The 15,717-nt window shown below is 38.7% G+C and overlaps 1 protein-coding gene and 1 long non-coding RNA gene across 8 annotated transcripts in view; one reads left to right on the top strand and one right to left on the bottom strand.

Moving 5' to 3' along the window:
• SLC16A12 (solute carrier family 16 member 12) overlaps positions 1-15,717 on the top strand; it is a 126,406-nt gene that overhangs the window by 85,058 nt on the left and 25,631 nt on the right. For all 7 annotated transcript variants that reach the window (XM_047425223.1, XM_047425221.1, XM_047425222.1 and 4 more), the window contains one exon: positions 9,023-9,268. In XM_047425223.1, coding sequence (XP_047281179.1) covers positions 9,069-9,268 — 200 coding nt within the window. In that variant the 5' untranslated portion in view covers positions 9,023-9,068. The remainder of the gene's footprint in view (positions 1-9,022; positions 9,269-15,717) is intronic.
• Positions 3,496-15,656, bottom strand: SLC16A12-AS1 (SLC16A12 antisense RNA 1). Its single transcript, NR_120614.1, has 3 exons — positions 15,399-15,656; positions 8,955-9,132; positions 3,496-3,621 (listed from the first exon to the last, which is right to left on the bottom strand). It is a non-coding gene; the product is annotated as an SLC16A12 antisense RNA 1 (long non-coding RNA).

Genomic DNA, 15,717 nt, shown 5'->3' with positions numbered 1-15,717 from the left:
GGGTTTACTCAAGAGAATGAAAACATATGACCACAAAAAGACTTGTACACTCATGTTCATAGAAGTTTTATTCATAATGTAAAACTGGAAACAGCTGTAACAATTATCAACAAACAAATGAATAAACTCATTGTAGTATATCCATAACACATAGTAATATTCAGCAATAAAAAGAATCAACTGTAGATACACACAACAAACTGAATGATTTCAAAACATTATCTTGAGTGAAAGAGGCCAGAAGCAAAATAATACATATTGTTTGATTCTATCTTTATGAAATTCTTGACAGAATTCTATCTTGACAGAAAGCAATCTATATTGACAACTAATTTATACTGACAGAAAGCAAATCAGTGGTATTCTGGTGCCAGGGTTGGTGAAGATTGACTGCAAGGGAGCATGAGGGAATGTCTGGGGATGATAAAAATGTTCTTTGTCTTGATTGTGGTGGTTGTAATTACATAAGTGATACATTTGTCAAAACTCTGAAATGTAGGCTTAAAATGGGCATGTTTTATTGTATGTAAGTTATACCTCAATTTAAAAATGTTTAACAGTCTTTGCAAATTTAGTATTTTTCATCTAAGATCAGCTTTCTTTGGATATTATTCAGCCAAATCTGAGGTTACTCTGATTATTAGGGTTGTTTCTCTCCTCTCTTGTGTTTATTCCTCCTTCTTCATGAGTGTGTCTGGTCTAGGGGAGAGCTCACGTGTCCGTGTCCTTGTGGTAGTGGTGGGGGAGGTGGTTAGCAAGCAGGCCCTCTGGTTGTTTTCTAAGTTCTCATTGGTCCATGCAGAGGTTTTCCTAGTATTGGTTACTGGGCATCCTGCTGGCCTCCTGAATGTGCATAGAAAGTGAAACTCATCTTGGTGCTCTCTAGGAGATGGCTTCTGTCCTCATTGTGTACTTTGCTGCTGGGAACTTATGGTTTGTATTCTCCATATGGCCAGGGCCTGGAGGAATTCCCAACCTTTCTTGTTGTAGTTCTTAAGGGTCAACTATGATTTCCATCTGGCTTAGCACTTTTGCCATGGAATCCCTCTTCCCTTTGCCATGGCCCTGGCTCTTATCTCACCTATCTTCCATGTCTCTATTGAGAACATGGGGGAATCCCCCCATCACTTCTGTGCCACCTAGGAGGTGAAGGACAGTCAGTGGGCACTCTGTTTCTCTCTGCTTAGACAGAGGGGACCCCTGAAGTTATGTCTTCCCACAGTTATACATGGGACAAATAGCACAGGCCTCCTTCTTGGCACTTCCCCCTCAGCTACCTAGGTTAAAGGGAAACTATCTCTTCACCATATCACATACCTGTCCTTGGTCAAGACTTAGGGAGTGGGAAACATAGTCCCTAAGAAACATGGGCAGCTCATCACCCTTCCTTTAAAATCCGTTTCCCTTTCCTCTCAGGGTAGGCTTCTACTTTCCCTTTCTGTGTGGTGGGAATGTCCCCTATAACACAATCCCATGATTCCTTGCCTGGGGATGCATTTATTCTGGATGGAGCTTATGTCTCATTCCCTACAGCAATAGGCTTCTTGACTTAGTCTTAATGACATAAGGGAATATTTAAAGGAACCTGGCTTACCAGAAAGGGGCAATACACCAGAAGATTTCTTAAAAAATATTACCTATAGTATAGGAATATTTCAGAAATGCCTAAAAAAAGGAGACTGGCAAATTTCATGATTCTTAAGCAATAACAAAGAGGAATTGTCTCTACCTTGAAAGAGTTATTATGTAAACAAAGAGTAAAGTTAATTAGAGTTTACTGAGAGTGCTTACCTATACCAGTTAACTTACATATTAGGGAAGATGTAGTTAGTAGTCATCTGGTTTAGAAGACAGATATCAGTAATTCAACATCCTGATTTTATTAATGAGGAAATAGCAGCAGGAAGGAAGTGATTCATACAGGGTCACTGGGACTCAGCCCAAATGCCCACCCTTGGTATTTTTCCATCATACTCTATCTCTTTTGTGGCTACAGACAAATTTATAAGGTGAGAATACAGCTAAAGGTGAAGGAAATAGAAGGAGTCAAGGAAGGAAAGAACAAGGGAAAGCCAATGTTGGGGGCCTTCCAAAACAAGTGGTTCTAGGAATACTCTTCCCTTTGTTCTAGTTGCTTACTGACTATAAGAAATTTGTAGGTGTTCTAGTGATAAAAGAAATATCTTCAGAAAACTTTACTGTGGGCAACATAAAAGAGTTGCCCCACAAATGGAGTGCTTTACTGCGAGTTTACTGAATGTTAGCAAGAATTTTTGCAAATGATTTTTCTAAAGTAAAGAGGATAAAGTGAAATTGAGAATATATCCCAACTTGCACTGTAAACAGTAATCTTAGAAGAACATCATCATGTAGTAATTCTTTCATCTCAGAAAATTTTTCCGAAGCTAGAATGGGATGCAGAATACTGTTCCATTTGATGAGTAAAATTCATCAGTCGTTGATGTCAAAATAATATGAATTGGAGGCTGATTAGTAAAATGAAGAGTTGCAAGATGGTAAATGCTTCCTTTGCTTATAGTTTTAGGCTGGGGTGCAGTGGCGTGATCTCAGCTCACTGCAACCTCTGTCTTCTGGGTTCAAGTGATTCTCATGCCTCAGCCCCCCAAGTAGCTGGGATTACGGCATGCACCACTACACTCAGCTAATTTTTGTATTTTTTATAGAAATGGGATTTCGCCATGTTGGCCAGGCTGGTCTCAAACTCCTGACCTCAAGTGATCCTCCCACCTTGGCCTCCAAAAGTGCTGGGATTACAGGTGTGAGTCATTGTGCCCGGCTGCAATACTATTAACTTAATAAAAGACCTGCCCATTATATTTGTCTCTTGTCAGGTGGGTTAATTATTTACAAGAATGCTCAGGTTAATGTTGTGGGAGAATTGCAGACTGCTTCAAAGTCTCCAGGAAACAAGGTTTGCCATGTCTAACCTGCACATTTCTTCTGAATATGTATAAATCTATTAAATGACCTGTTTTGAAAGAAACTCACATGCGTTGTTTTGTGAACAGCCATATAACCTTGTGATAACCTTGTCGGCTTCTCCCCCCTTCCTTTTGTCGTGGTCACTCACATGAATGGTGCTTAAGCGTTAGTATTGCTTGGACATCTTGTTGACAGAAACGCCAATAACAATTTTGAAATCTCAGAGCAGATGGACAAGTGCATCATCCAAAGTCAGCCAAAGCTACTTGCCTCCATTTACACTCACATGCAGTGTTGTCAGGGGAGTCCTTTCATTTCTCTGAGCTTCAGTTTCACCATTGAGAAAGAGAGAAAGATAGCATCTATCCCTGAGGATGGTGAGGATCGAGTGCGCTTATTCATGAGAAATTGTTAGTAATAGTATTGCATACAAATGCTTGCAGAGAGGCTCTTTCTCCCCACCCTGGTGTCCCATGAGGATGTTCCTTGTCCTGTGGTTTTACCCAGGTTGACTCTGTGACTTACAACAGACCTTTGTTCATCGTGCTATCACCACAGCCATCTTGGGATGATTATTTAAATTTTTTATTTGGATTTATACAATTGCATTTTTTGGATATCTTCTCAAATCAGTTCTTAACTTATTACATGTGGAAATGCCAAACAGAAGATGCTCACCTAAAACAAATGAAAAGGGAATCGTGAGTTTAGCAGCAGCAAAGTAAAAATTAATCATGCTTAATATTTTTGTAAAGAAACAGAACATTTTATTTTGCCAGGGGCTTGTTGCCTACAATGTGTCCTCTACTGAATAATCACCTCATTTTCAATGTGCCATATCAATAAATGATAGTTATTTTTAGTCCTTGAAAAACCATAAAAAAGAGACTTTTGTGCTCACCAAAGGAACAGACCTGAAATCTCTATTTAAGAAAATTACATGTAAAATGATATTTAACACAGTTTTGGAAATGAATAATAACTTAATCATACCAGCTCAATTATATTCCTTTTTACATATTCTTCCTACTCTTTGTGACAATTACAAACATACAACTTTTACATAAGCTTTACATAGCTTCCCTCACAAAGTAGATGAGCGTCTTTTTTTGGCTTTAATATTGCATCGTAATAGTTTTCCATATAACAATATTAGCTTCCTGTTTATAATTGTAATGAATTGCATACTCTTCTATTTGTTGAACATGTCATAATTCTCCAAACACTTCCCGGTTGTTAAACATTTAGGTTGTTTCTGTTTTATATATTATTGTTAATGCAGCTATTATTTTTTGCCTATAGTGGCTTCTCTTACATTGTTTTCTTAGGATAACCTCCCAGAAATAGAATTGCTATTGAAAGAATGTGGATACCTTTCTAATTCATGATCCATCACATTATGTTGCTTTTTAAAAGGGCTGTTGCACAGCTCTGGCTGTTTCAGTATTCTTTCACAGCATAGGGCGGCACTAATAAGGATGGTCCTTATGCCGGATGTTTATGGGTAGGTGGATTTATAGTCTTACACTGGAAAACAACTTAACCTTGGGGGTTATTTAAATGGAAAAGCCTAAGAAGAAGCTAGGACTATACCAAGGCAGGAGTTTCTAAGTTGTGCCTTTTTTTACTGGTACAACTGATTGTATCACATCATAACACTTGGCAGTTAATTGTGTCCAATTGGTGAGTTATTCCATTGTGTGTGTTTGTCACAGGTGTAGGTAGACTCTTGAATGCCGGTTCTATTGGAATTGAGAGAAAGAGAGGGTGCTAGGCATAAAACATACCATAAACATGACTCACGTGGCTGTTTAAGAAGCTTTGATTTATGTTAGCACAGTATGGGCAGAAGTTGAAAATCTTACTGCCCCAGGGGCCTGGCAGGTGAAGCACGCAGGAACTGCACACAAATGTGTGTGCAGTTTTACCCTATCAGGGTACTCTATCAGGGATAGGGTAAAGGGGAAGTGCAGGACTTGTCTGAAAGGGGACACTGCTGCTTGGCTCCATCTCATGGCTGCCACAAGGGAATGCAGCCCAGCATCTTTTTAGAGCTTGCAATTTTTCAGAAGAATCTGGAAATTTGGATAGTATCTGATATTTACAAGTGCCAACTAATGTAAACATTTACAAAACACTGTAGGCGTAATAAAATTGTCCTGAAGCCTGATTTGCTTGTTGCTGCTGGTTTGTGGGTGCTCTCATTTGACTATAAGTATGATTCTGTGAAGTAGGCAGAAGGTAATTTTTTGTACAAACAAGAAAGCTGAGGCTTAGAAATTATTGTTCAACAGTTCATGAACTGTGCCTGTCCCACTAGGATGTGAGCCTCATGAAAGCAGGGCTATTGTCTCTTTTCTGCAATGCTCATAGCCCAGCTCCTAGAATAGTTTCTAGTGCATATTGGACACTCAATAAATATCTATTGAATTAATGAGTGATGAACAAATGAAAAGAGGTTAAATCACATGGCAAATAATATCTACATTTTTATGCCAGATATTCCTCATGTTTTATCTCACTTTGATATATACAACATTTTGTGAAAGTAAAATTATTACCTCCATTTTATGGATCAGTAAACTGAGGCTCAGAGACATAAAGTAATTTGCTTGAATTCATATAACTCTTAAGATGCAGAGTCAGAACCCAGATCTTCCATCTGGGTATTGGCTCATTAACTTTGTCCTCAAACTAGCTTCCTTCATGGTTAAGAAGTGGCTGCTATAGATCCAGGTATCACATCCAGAATCTACAGGAAGAAGAGGGGCTTGTTTCTTCCTCATGTCTTTTCTTAAGAACAGGGAAACATTTCCCAGAGGACTTCTCTCCATAGCTCATTGGCTGGATACTTCCCGTTCTGTGCCTCATCACTCACTGACATGGGAACGGGAGACCAATCCAAACCCATTCCCTAAACCAAGGGACTGGGCCCAGATGGCCACTGGAAAGAGCAGATAGAGTTGAATCCTAACAAAGCCAGGGTTATGATGGAATAGAGGAAGGGACGGACTACCAGCTCTGTCTTCTCCAGCAGGCTGTGTGTGAAAGCAAAAATACAGGTATGGTAGATCTTTTAAAATAAGAGTTTTTCCTTGAGTGTTTCATCTTGGGGAAGAAAGTAGATGACTGTTAAAGCTACTTATTCATGACACAAAGTTATATTTTGGAAAAACTTATTCTGAAGCTCCAGAGTGTTAAGGACACCTTTAGAGGGTTAGTTTTGCTCTGAAATTTCACAGCTGGTCAAGTCAGTGACCTACAAGAATGTTTCAGGGAAATACCAATGGTACCATTTAAAGAACTGCATTTATAGCTACGTCAGGCTGCAATTCACATCATCCTACTGGTGTGTCATCAGCAAGAATTATGTGTATAATTAGACAAAAACGTTTATGAATTTATACCAAGGAATAAGGAAATGTAGTAGAAGCAGTGCAGGGCATTGGTTAGGAAGACTGGCCTTGCAATCAGACCAAGGTTCATAGCCCATTTCTGCTGCTTCATTATCTAAAGGTATCTTTAATCTTGTAAGGATTAAATGAGATGCTGTCTGTAGTGATGCTTGCTAGCAGCTTGGCCTATGGCAAGTGTTTTGTAAATAGCAGCTCTATATCACTGTTATTTTCACTTAGCCCCAACACCAGTATTTTAACTATTAGTCAATCCTCAGGCCAGTGTTTAGCAATATTATCATTTCCAGTAATAACTTTTATTTTTTTCTTTATCAATAGGTTTAGTATTTATGCCAGTATTGGTCTCCCAATACTTTTGATAGATTTATAATTTCAGTTGTCCACGTAATCACCTTTGTCAGTCTCCCCAAAGTCACAGGATGGTTAACAGCATGAAGATGAAGACCTGAGGCTTCAAAAGGGGCAAACCTAAGTGATGTATGTGGGAATCATTCTTGTTGCCTTGGCCTCACTACCCCTGCTCTGTATGCACTCTCTGAAGTCACAAGCCACCAATTTGTTCCAGTGGCTTCAAAGATGCACACTTATAAATTTCTGTTGTGAGCCATTTTCTTGAGAAAGTTGTGGTCTTAAAGTAAATGTTTTTTATTAGACAATTTATTTTGCCCATAATTTACCAGGTGGTACATAGTCTTTGTTCATCAAATAATCCACACATTGTCATAGTTGAAATGACATTTCATTTAATTAATGTTAATATTTCGTCCAGTGATCACAATAAAATTATAAAAGCAACTGGGTAATTTGCTCAATTCTGTAGCAAAAGTAGATGTTGAAACTCTTATTTTTCCTCTCAAAAAATTCGTCCCTGACTGTAATTAAGAAGCCTGTTTGACAAGCCATGGAATGCCTTAAGAAGCACCTTATCTCACAGTTTCTGTGGGGCCAGAATCCAGAAATAGCTTAGCTGGGTCCTTGGCTAAGGGTATCACAAAGCTGCAGTCAGGGTGTCAGTGAGACTGTCCTTAACTGGAGGCTCAATTTAGGGGAAAATCTGCTTCCAGGCTCACTTGGGATGTTTGCGAAAAAGCAAAAAACAAAAGACCCTGAGATCTTCATGTTTCTTGCTGTCTGTTGGAGGCTGCCCTTGGCATCTACAGGCTGCCCATGGTTCCCTGCCAAATGGCTTTCTCCAGGTGTGCAGCATGGCAGTTTGCTTCTTCAAGGACAGTGGGAGAGTGAGAGTGGCTAGCAGGCCTGAGTCATATATAACGTGACATAATTACGAGAGTCAGGTTCCATCACAGGTGCCATATTCTGTTGGGTAGAAGCAAGTCACAGGTCCCTCCCACGCTCAAGGGAAGGGATTACATAAAGATATGAACAACCAGAGTCAGGACCATAGGGGTACCTTAGAGCCTGCCCACCACAGGGAGCTTTGTGTATTGTGACCACTACTGAATCCTTAGTGCCCTAAAACGGTGCCTGACACATGTTAGGGATTCAATAAATATTTAGAGTTGAATGAATGAATGAATGCAGATATTACTTCTTTGAAGTATGTATTGCTAATGTTTTTTTCCCCAAGCCTGTGGCTTACCTTTTGGTTTTGTTTATTAATCACATGTTTTAATACAGAAATGTTAAATTTTAATTTAGACAAATTAACGAAATTTTTTTTATCTTGGTTTGTTTTATTAGTTTACACCTCAGGGAGTTTTCCTATCTAGAGAACAGATAAATATTTGCCTATATTTTCACTTAGGTTTTTAACTACTTCTTTATTTTTTTACATTTATTGATTTATCTGGAAGGTCAACAGCTAAATGGAGAGTTGAACAGAATGTGGTGAATAATACTTTTTTTCTTCACTGATCTTTTTTTTACCTTATTTGGATTGTATTAAATATTATATACTAGCTTCTGGGCTCTCTACTTTGTCTCATTTATTTCTCATTCTATTCTTACTTCAATTACACACTTAAAAAATTACAGCATTTTAAAAAATGCCAAGAAGTTGCTGTCAGACTCATTCCGTATAATAATTAGTCTATGTTATAAGCTGTTGTAACAGCTTATATACAGAGACACAAATAAAATGGAAGCTTATTTATCTTTTGTGTAACAGTGTAGAGATGTGTAGAGTCCAGAGTAGGAGGGCAGGTCTCCCCAGAGTCATCTGGGGACCCAGGCTGCTTCTGTCTCGTACCTCTGCCAGCCCCTAGACTGATGTCCTGGTCTGTGTGGTTGAAGTCGTTTCATATCCACATCCATCTTCCAGTCTGTTGGAAGAGGGTGCTGGAAGTCCTCAAAAAGTACCTTTGCCTTTGAGTTGATGAACCAGAAGTGGCACACATGACTTCTGCTCACATCCCTTTCATGGAGACTACACTTTATTGCCACAACTACCTTCAAGAGAGGCTAGGGAAAAATGGTATCAAATAGAGTAGACATGCATTTGACTACAATTTGAGAGGTTCTATTTTATTTTTAAAAAAGAAAGCATGTACCAAGGACAACAAATAGTCTGCCCCAGTCTAGTATTCATAGTTACAAATACTCATATTTAATAGGAAAGTAATAATCATGTCTTACCAAGTGAAGAAAAATCAACCTTTGGACATAGCAATAAGATATAAATATGTCCTGATTTTTGGTTTTAGATGGCGAGTAACCCATGGGCCAGGTAGCGTTCTATGCCAACCTTGAATGCCATCAGGAAGTCACTGGACAGCAAACTCTTCCAAGATCATAACTTGGCTGTTGGAGCAACCTGGAAAAGAAGAAAAAAGAAAAACCATGGCAAAAGTAAATAGAGCTCGGTCTACCTCCCCTCCAGATGGAGGCTGGGGCTGGATGATTGTGGCTGGCTGTTTCCTTGTTACCATCTGCACACGGGCAGTCACAAGGTAGGTAGGATTTTCTTCTTAACTTATTAAGATGACCTGGCCTGTCTTTTCTTTTAAATCTGCTTCATTCTCTTTCTGAACCCATCATTGTGAAGATATGTGTGTGTTCATGTGGTGTGTGTGTATTTCCGTTGACTCTTCAGGTATCATTTTCTTTGCAAAGTATGTGATTCTCTGACACTTATGAGTCCCAGATAGTGGTCTTTTCATGTGGGGTGTGTATATTTCCGTTGACTGCTCAGGTATCGTTTCCTTTGCAAAGTATGTGATTCTCTGACACTTATGAGTCCCAGATAGTGATCTTTTCTATCATATCTGATATTTAAACCTGGAGTCTTAGGACATTTGTAGGCCAATGCTGTGACTATTCCAGCCATTCATTTTCATAAGCAGCTCCAGAAGATGTGGAAGGATGTAACATCTATTTCTTTTCACTCTTCATCTTCCACTCTTCAGTAATATGAAATACTTAAAACTCATCACATGTGAAATAGCATGGGAAATGTCCTACAGTATTTTCATAATGAAATCACTTTTCTGGGGATTTTAAAGGATTGGTAAATGCATACCTGAGAAGGTAAGTTAGCTTAAGCTGGCATAGCTCCAGGGGAGGGTAAGATCATTTCTACAAGTGTGTTTCTCCAGAATTTTTAACTGTCATCTTAATGATAAATCTAAATTAAGATAGATCTTATTCATTAAAGTTTTACAAAGCTAATAGGATGTGTGATCTATAATTCATAAATCAAGAAAAACACTATGGGCAAACTGATGGCAAGAGATCATAGTCATAATGGTGTGATGTGGCTTTAAGTCTAGGGATGAGGAAAAGGGGTACCAGGTGACAAGAGTATGATTATAAAGTTTACATTGGATGTGTGAATGTATCACACAGAGTTAATCTTACACAAGGTTAGGGTCTATATTCATCCCAGAAAGGATAAAACATGCAAGGCCAAAATAATCCTGGAAAATTTCTTGGCTCCCTAGGGCTCATTAAGCCCCTGGAAGCTTAAAACCTAGAATTTAAATTATTTTGCTTTATTTTGCATTTTGGCTGTTGTGGTGATGACTTCTAGGTTGAAGGAGAGCACAAACATAGATACAGGGATTCTCTCATTCTTGCCTGCTCTCTTCTCCCTCTTACTTTTCTCCAAAGTCAGTGTTGAATATGCCTAAGTTAGATGCACGTACATTAAGACTCATCCATCTCATTTATATTTGGAGTAAATATGCATTCGAAATCTACATATGTGAGCTCTTTCCTCTACAGGTGCTTTCATTCAAATAGAAATCTTTATTTCTCTCCTCTGGCAGCAGACCATTACAAGAAAGTAATTTGGACTAATTATTTGTTGGCATCATCAATACAGGCATCAGTGTCCCTCCCATAACAAAGATACAGTGCAGGATAGAATAAGATGTTTATCTTTGCTACAGTAACGGTTGGTTGATTGTGTATCATAATAAACTACAGATTTGTTCAAAATAATATAATTGATGCTGAGTGATTTTACACTGTTGGTGGGAATATAAATTAGTCCAACCATTGTGGAAGACAGTGTGGTGATTCCTCCCTGACCTAGAACCAGAAATACTATGAAGTGTGATTTTTTTTTTTTTTTTTTTTTTTTGAGACAGTGTCTCCCTCTGTTGCTCAGGCTGGAGTGCAATAGCATGATCTCCACTCACTGTAACCTCCGCCTCCCAGATTCAAGCGATTCTCCTGCCTCAGCCTCTGGAGTAGCTAGGATTACAGGGATACAAAATTTTGTACTGGGATACAAAAATTACGCCTGGCTAATTTTTGTATTTTTAGTAGAGATGGGGTTTCACCATGTTGGTCAGGCTGGTCTCGAACTCTTGACCTCAGGTGATCCACCCGCCTCAGCCTCCAAAGTGCTGGGATTACAGACGTGAGCCACTGTGCCCTGCCAAAGTATGATTCTTAAGAAGACCTCTGTAAGAGGAATTGGGAGACAATTATCCCTTTGGCATTGTGACTTCTCATCACTGATATGACAGCTCCCTGGACATTAAGAAGTCTAGATTATGAGTCTATAATATGAGTCTGTAAGACTCATCTATATTATGAGTCTTGTGTTCTGGGTTTGAGGAAGTCATGGAGTTAAAAGGAATCCCTATCCTTGGTCCTTCATATAGAAGCTTCCATCATTCCCATGATGAAAGAGTTCTGGAAGTGGGCACAATGCTTTAGAAGGAGGGATCATGCTGGAATCTTAGGGGTAGTTGAGTCTTCATGATGAAGTTGCACTTCTGTGGAATTGCCCATAGTGCTTTTAGATGAGATACTAAGATAAGTCTTCCAATCACATTGCCTCATGTGAGCCTTGTGATTTATTCACCCTCTATTTAATAGATTAGGACACTGATGCTCAGAAAGATTGACTTGTCTACATTTATTTTATTTTATTTTGAGACAGAGTTTCACTCTTATTGCCCAGGCGGAAGTGCAGTGGCGTGATCTCAGCTCACTGCAACCTCCGCCTCCCGGGTTCAAGTGATTCTCCTGTCTCAGCCTCCTGAATAGATGGGATTACAGGTGCGTGCCACCACACCCAGCTAATTTTTTGTATTTTTAATAGAGACGGGGTTTCACCATGTTGGCCAGGATGGTCTCAAACTCCTGACCTCAGGTGATCTGCCGCCTCAGCCTCTCCAAGTGCTAGGATTATAGGGGCGAGGCACCATGCCCGGCCTACATTTCTTTTTGTCTAGTAGGACAGAGCTGGACTAGAATTCTAGTTTGTTTGTTTGTTTGTTTGTTTGTCACTGTGCATACATTCATAATCCATTGACTCTTGAAACACACACACACATACACACACACACACACACACATAAACACAGAAACCGCTATGCCCTTTCCAATACATAACTAAATAGCTTCCTAAACTATTCTCATACACACACCACACTTCTACCTGCCCCTGCATACACACTACACACACACAAACATACACATACACACACAAACATGCAAACTCTGCAGCTTATCCTTTAGAACAATTGTGTATTATAAGACATGGGTTTTTTTTTTTAAAAAAACTGCCTTGGTTATGGGAGTCATTGTCTTAACATGGGCAACTTCTTAATATCCAGCGAGCTGTCATATCAGCGATGCGAAGTCATAGTATCAAGGGAATAAATGTCTCCAAATTACTCTTACACAGGCCCTCTTAAGAATCACACTTCAGACTAAGAAACCTAGGAACCAAGGAATTAATTATCTTTTCTTCTCATAAAATGTATATCTTAGTGCAAAATTCTTCCATAGGAAAAATTGCAGAGGAACAGGTATTCCTGAGTGCTCTTCAACTTTTCTCCTTACTTTTCACAGTGTTTTACTTTACTGTAAACTTCTTAGGCTTGCCCCTCCTCCGACATACCACAGACAAATAGGAAAAAGTTAAACACATCTTACTTGCACAATTTTTTTCCAGTAAGATCAAAAGTTAACTCAGGAGCCTAAAGTGGTTTGTTAACTCACCCCACATTGCAATTTATAGGAAGGGGATAATCCATCCTGATTTACCATCACCCCATGATTCTTTCTATGCTTTGAAATTCATGATTGGATGTATTTTAAGAACTTAAAAACTGTTCAAAAGTGTCAGGAGTAATCACTAATAATGCCTCTTTCCACCTTGTTCCCAACCAAATCGTAATTAAGTAAAGCTCTTCAGTATGTGAACAGTAAAGGCAATTTATTCTATCTGCTTAATGTGAAGCTGTATCTAAGTATGAATTTGATGATGAAGAATCGAAAGGCAAAATCAGTTCACTCCAGAAATACCTTCCGGTGGTAGAATGCCTGTCACTTGAGTCATTTCCTTAATTATAGTTGGTGCGCTTATGCCAAATCTTTCAATTGGATAACTAAGGGAGCTTAACTCTTAAGTCCTCTGTACACCAAAAAAGAAGTAAGTAGATAGCTCCAAAGTGCCTAATCCTGTTATTTTTCAGACAGGTAAATAGACCCAAAGGTCAAATTCTCATACTTCTGTCTGTGGAAGAACCATGAAGAGCATGAAACTCATAGATGCCCAATTTTGTGTTATCACTTGACCAGTCTAACATGTTTGACTGAAAACCCCTGCCTCGTTTGGCCAGAGGTATATGGGCTAACGCATATTGGATTCAATTGGCGATGATACTGGAGGAGATTCTACATAACAGCTACTTAGATTTGGCAGCACTATAAACAATTTTATCTTTATCAACAGTAAATGGATGCTGGTTCTTTAAAGAAGAAAAAATTTGCCAATCCCTCTGTCTGAAAAAGAACATCTATGTTATGCTCCTATCTACAAATAAATAAACAAACCGCCCAGGCAGAACCCAGGACATCCACACATGCTAACATCTTTCATTATTGATCCTCAGGGACACAATGGATGTTCTACAGAGTTTTCCAGGCCCTTCTCCATCTTTAGGATAACTCAGAACACCACAATCACAATCAGACTTGGGGTAAATATGTTTATACTGCTGCTCTCAGTTTCCACTAAACAAATTACAATAGCATTACAGTCTGAATATTTTTGAAAAAGTCACAGGGGGAGAGATCTTTGTTCCAAAAAGAAATAGTAGCTAAAGCAGGATGGAATAAAGGGTGCTTAGTTCAGAAAATTCTGGCTAATTCAGTGTTCTGTGTAAAATTAAGTACATGTGTTCTCTGCCTACAAAAAAAAATGTAACTGGTTGTACATAAAAATATTCAATAAAGATTATAAAAAAAAGAATCACACTTCATGGTATTTCTGGTTCTAGGTCTTTGAGGAATCACCGCACTGTCTTCTACAATGGTTGAACTAATCTATATTCCTGTGAATAGTGTAAAAGTGTTGCTATCTCTCTGCAGCCCTGCTAGCATCTGTTGTTTCTTGACTTTTTAATAATCACCATTCTGACTGGTGTGAGATTGTATCTCATTGGGGTTTTGATTTGCATTTTTCTAATGATCAGTGATGTTGAGCTTTTTTCATATGTTTGTTGGTTGCATAAATGTCTTCTTTTCAGAAGCATCTGTTCATGTCCTTTGCCCACTTTTTAATGGGGTTGTTTGTTTTTTTTCTTGTAAGTTTGTTTAAGTTCCTTGTAGATTCTGGATATTAGACCTTTGTCAGATGGATAGGTTGCAAAAATTTTTTCCCATTCTGTAGGTTGTCTGTTCACTCTGATGATAGTTTCTTTTGCTGTGCAGAAGCTCTTTAGTTTAATTAGATCCTATTTGTCAATTTTTGCATAGAAATACCATTTGACCCAGCAATCCCATTACGGGGTATATACCCAAAGGAATATAAATCATTCTATTATAATATAAAGATATATGCACACGTATGTTCAGTGCTGCCCTATTCACAATAGCAAAGACATGGAATCAACCCAAATGCCCATCAGTGATAGACTGGATAAAGAAAATGTGGTACATATATACCACTATGTATATACTATGCAGCCATAAAAAGGAATAAGATCATGTCCTTTGCAGGGACATGAATGGAGCTGGAAGCCATTAACCTCAGGAAGCTAACACAGGAACAGAAAACCAAACACTCTGTGTTCTCAATCATAAGTGGAAGCTGAACAATGAGAACACATGGACACAGGGAGGGGAGCAACACACACTGGGGCCTGTCGGGGTGGGGGAGTGGGAAGAGGGAGAGCATCAGGAAAAATAGCTAATGCATGCTGGGCTTAATACTTAGGTGATGGGTTGATAGGTGCAGCAAACCACCATGGCACACGTTTATCTATGTAACAAACCAGCACATCCTGCACAAGTAACCTAGAACTTAAAGTAAAATAAAATAAAATTTTAAAAAATGAAAAAAAAAGAATCATACTTCATGTGTAATTGCAGGCTATTCTGTTCATAAATTGGCCACTTGAGTTGGGTTGATACTTAAAAAGCAATGTTTGATTTAAATGTCCAAAACCCTGTCCCCCTCCAGGTCTGAGACCTATTTTTCTCTAAGTCTACTGGGTCCAAATTAACTTAGGTGCAATATATGTCTAGAATCCTATGGGATTGTAGAGTTCTTTTGAACTCTCTTAACAATAGTTGAATTCTTATAATAATTGCTAACTTTAACTGAGCACTTACATTGTGCATGTTGGCATTCTTCAAGCATTTTTTATGGATTAAATCATTTAATCCTCATAACACACAGCAGTTGAAGAACATGTCCAAGGTCCCATGGTTAGTAAGTGGCAGGACTTTTAGCCACTAGGCTGCAGTGCCCAGTAGATCAATTCTAGTATGCCAGATGTTGGCAGCACTCACTGTATAGGAGACAGAGAAAAATTTTACAGCAGAGTGGCAAGATTGAGACAGCAGTCATACTGGCCTCTGAGAGAAGGTATTTTTGAGAATGTCATTTCGTCACAGATGACACTTGGTGATACTTTGTTTCCACATTCTT

This window comes from Homo sapiens, chromosome 10 (genome assembly GCF_000001405.40).
Source record: "Homo sapiens chromosome 10, GRCh38.p14 Primary Assembly".
In the NCBI taxonomy this organism is placed as follows: domain Eukaryota; kingdom Metazoa; phylum Chordata; class Mammalia; order Primates; family Hominidae; genus Homo; species Homo sapiens.
The sequence above is the reverse complement of the archived record's forward strand: the minus strand, read 5'-3'. Positions and strand labels throughout refer to the sequence as shown.